This window comes from Homo sapiens, chromosome 5 (assembly GCF_000001405.40).
Source record: "Homo sapiens chromosome 5, GRCh38.p14 Primary Assembly".
NCBI lineage: Eukaryota > Metazoa > Chordata > Mammalia > Primates > Hominidae > Homo > Homo sapiens.
Genome location: NC_000005.10, coordinates 57,316,866 through 57,320,410, shown reverse-complemented (window position 1 = coordinate 57,320,410; position 3,545 = coordinate 57,316,866). Strand labels below are relative to the sequence as shown.

The window sequence follows — 3,545 nt, the reverse complement described above, 5'->3', positions numbered from 1 at the left end:
GTTCCCTTCAAAGTGTCTGTGCCATCCTTCTGCTATACGGTGGAAAAGGAGGCAATGTGATGTTTTGATCTATGCATATGTTATAGAAAGATACAATCAAACTAGTTAACGTATGCATTGCCTCACTAATTTATCATTTTTTTGTGATGAGAACATTAAAACTCTATTTTAGCAATGTTGAAATATGCAATACATTATTGGCCAGCCGTGGTGGCTCACGTCTGTAATCCCAGCACTTTGGGAGGCCAAGGTGGTAGGATCACTTGAGTCCAGGAGTTCAAGACCAGCCTGGACAACATAGTGTGACCCCGACTTTACAAAAAAAAAAAAAGATTAAAGAATAAAACGAAATAAATACAATGGGCTGACTCTGTACACGTGAGCTGCAGCATGGCAGCCCACCACTCCAGCCCACTCAAGATGCAGAATAAAGCTCATAAAAGTGGGCAGCATCGGGGTCGGGGATCTGCACAGCAGGATGGCAAGGGCCATCTAGCACTGAAAACCCTAAGCAAGAAGGTGAGAAAAGAACTCAGCAGAGTAGACCAGAGGCATTCCGCCAGTCAGCTCCAAAAGCAGAAGAAGGAGGTGGTTCTGGCGGAGAAGAGACAGCTGGGTAGCAAGGATGGCTCTCCTCATTAGCACTAGCTGTCCAGGGATTATCTGGCCTCCCACTGAAGAAACAAATAGATGCCAGAAAGAAGCTAAGTAAAGCAGTGGAGAAGCACTTTCTGGATGACAAACTCCTCTTGTTAGACACTCAACAGGAGGCAGGGATGCTGCTTAGGCAGTTGGCTAACCAGAAGCAATGGCATCTTGCTTTTCGAGATCAGCAGGCCTACCTATTTGCCCATACTGCTGATTTTGTTCCTAGTGAAGAGAATAATTTGGTGGGCACCTTGGAAATTTCAGGCTATGTTCGTGGGCAGACTCTGAATGTAAATAGGTTGCTGCATATCACTGGACGTGGTGATTTCCAGATGAAACACATAGATGACCCCATGGACCCTTTCCCTTTAAATCCTACAGTAATTAAATCCCAAAAGGACCCAGACATGGCAATAGAGATTTGTGCTATGGATACTGTCGATGATATGGAAGAAGACCTTAAAGTCCTAATGAAGGCAGATCCTGCTAGACAGGAATCCTGACAAACAGAGGTTATCCCAGATCTAACGCAGGGGGAGCAAACCTGGCCCAATGAGGAGGAGTTGAGTGAGACAAAGGATTTCTTGAAGGGAGATTCTAAGGTGGTAAAGAATATGATGATACAGAACATGAGGATTTTATGAAGGAGGAATCTCAGCATGAAAGTGTGAAGATGAAGAAGAGGAGGAATGTGAAACTATGACTACAAGGGAGTCTGTGCATGATGATCTCTCTGATGAGAAAGTGGATGAAGAAGCTGAGGCAAAAATGTTGGAGAAATGTAAACAAGAAAGACTGGAAGAGATGTTTCCAGGTGAAGTGGGTGGACACCCCCTGTGATGTGGCTGCCAGAAATTCAGTTTCAGAAATACAAAGGCCTCAAGAGCTTCCAGACATCTCCATAGGATCCTAAGGAAAAATATTGCTCAAGATTGTGCTTGAATATTTCAGTTTCAGAACTTTACTAGTACTAGGAAAAGCATATTTAAAGAGATTGAAGAAAAAGAGGTTGAAGGAGCTGATGTTGGCCAGTATGTCACACTTCATGTCTCTAATGTCCCTGTCTCAGTGGTTGAGTGATTCAGGCAAGGAGCACCCTTGATTGCATTTTCTTCACTACCTCATGAACAGAAGATGTCAGTATTGAATATGGTGGTGAGGCATGACCCTGGCAGCACTGAATCTGCGAAAGCCAAGGAGGAGCTCATATTCCGCTGTAGATCCAGGCACTTCCGAGCCTCACCTTTATTCTCTCAGCATGCTGCAGCAGACAAACATAAATTTCAGAGATTCCTGACTGCTGATATGGCCCTGGCGGTGACAGTATACGCACCAACCACTTTTCCTCCTTCATCTTTGCTGCTTTTCAAGCAGAAAAGCAATGGAATGCACAATCTCATTGCTACAGGCCATCTTTTGCTGGTGGATCCAAACAGAATGGTCATCAAGAGAGTTGTCCTGAGTGATCCTCCTTTCAAAATTTGTACTAAGATGGCAGTGGTATGTTACATGTTCTTCAATAGAGAGGATGTGCAGTGGTTTAAACCAGTAGAACTGAGAACAAAGTGGAGCCGCAGAGGACACATCCAGGAGCCTTCAGGTACCCATGGCCGCATGAAGTGCAGCTTTGATAGGAAGCTAAAATCTCAGAACACAGAACTGATGAACCTTTACAAATGAGTTTTCCCCAAATGGACTTATGATCCAAGTGTACCAGAACCAGCACCTTGGGTGAACAGTGAGATTTCTTCAACAGTGCCTCAGGTGGGCATGGAGTAATGGATTTAAAGCGATTCTGTCTTACTGAGGCCAGTCAGCACTCCAAGGATGGGAGTCACAAGTTGTGATTGGGCAAAGTTTATTTTCTATGTCAGCTTGTCAGTCGGCTGCACCATTTTGCAAGAATTTTTTTGGCCTTGATAAAATGTCTCAGTTAAGTATGGAAGTTTTTCTACTGCTTAATCCAAAAAGCTATTAAATCTTACTGAAATAAAAATAAATGCATAAATACAATGCATTATTAATAACTGTGGTCACCATGCTGTACAATAGATCGCTAAAGGATATTCCTCCAGGGTCATTGAAACTTTGTACCCTTTGACCACATTTCCTTTCAACTTAGTCACTGACTTGCTGATGTTCGGCTTTGACAGAAATGCGTTTCCAGAATGCCTTTCCATTCCTCCCTCAGAGCAGGGAGGGCAGTTAGGCTTGCTTCTTTCACTTTTAAGTTGATTCTTTCCTCTGAGGGATGGAGTCTGTCATCCTTACATTCATCATCCGCTGGGGTAGCACTCCAAAGTCACCCTCACCATTTGGCAAATCCACCATTTGGCAAATCCAGCTTCTGTCAGATGTGCCCACATGTTTGTTTCTTCTCCACAAATGGAAGAACTACGGTGATTACTGCTGCTCACTAAATTAAACTTAACAATCTAGTTTATTCCAGCAGGTTCCTGGTAAACAGCACTGCAGCTGAAAAGGCTTATCCTGTTTATGTTAACATGAAATATCCTGGGTTGAGGCTCCCAGAGCAGGGCAGAGGCTGCCCTCCCTGAATGTCAGCTGTTTGAAGGGCTTTCTGTTTTGACAAATGGTGTTTAGATAAGAAAGCCACTGTTGATGTGATGTTTTGTATCAACTTTGAGCTTTTGACGTAGATGGAGGTTGTTCTATTTCAGTATATGCCAGGCCTTCTTAAAGAGGAGAATCATCACTCTATGTAATGGCTGGAAGTCCCCCATTGGCTAACCCTCCATACACAGCGTGACCTTCTTGAGCTGCTGTCTCTGCATCAGGTTTCTCAAGCTCAGCACTATTACCACAAGACTGAGTCATGCTTTGTTGTGGGCCGTCCAGTGTATTGTAGGATGTTTAGCAGCAAACTGACCTCTACC

General features: G+C 43.9%; 1 pseudogene; it reads left to right on the top strand.

Annotated features, from left to right (window-relative positions):
* LOC100288510 (TSR1, 20S rRNA accumulation, homolog (S. cerevisiae) pseudogene) lies at nucleotides 364-2,618 on the top strand (annotated as a pseudogene).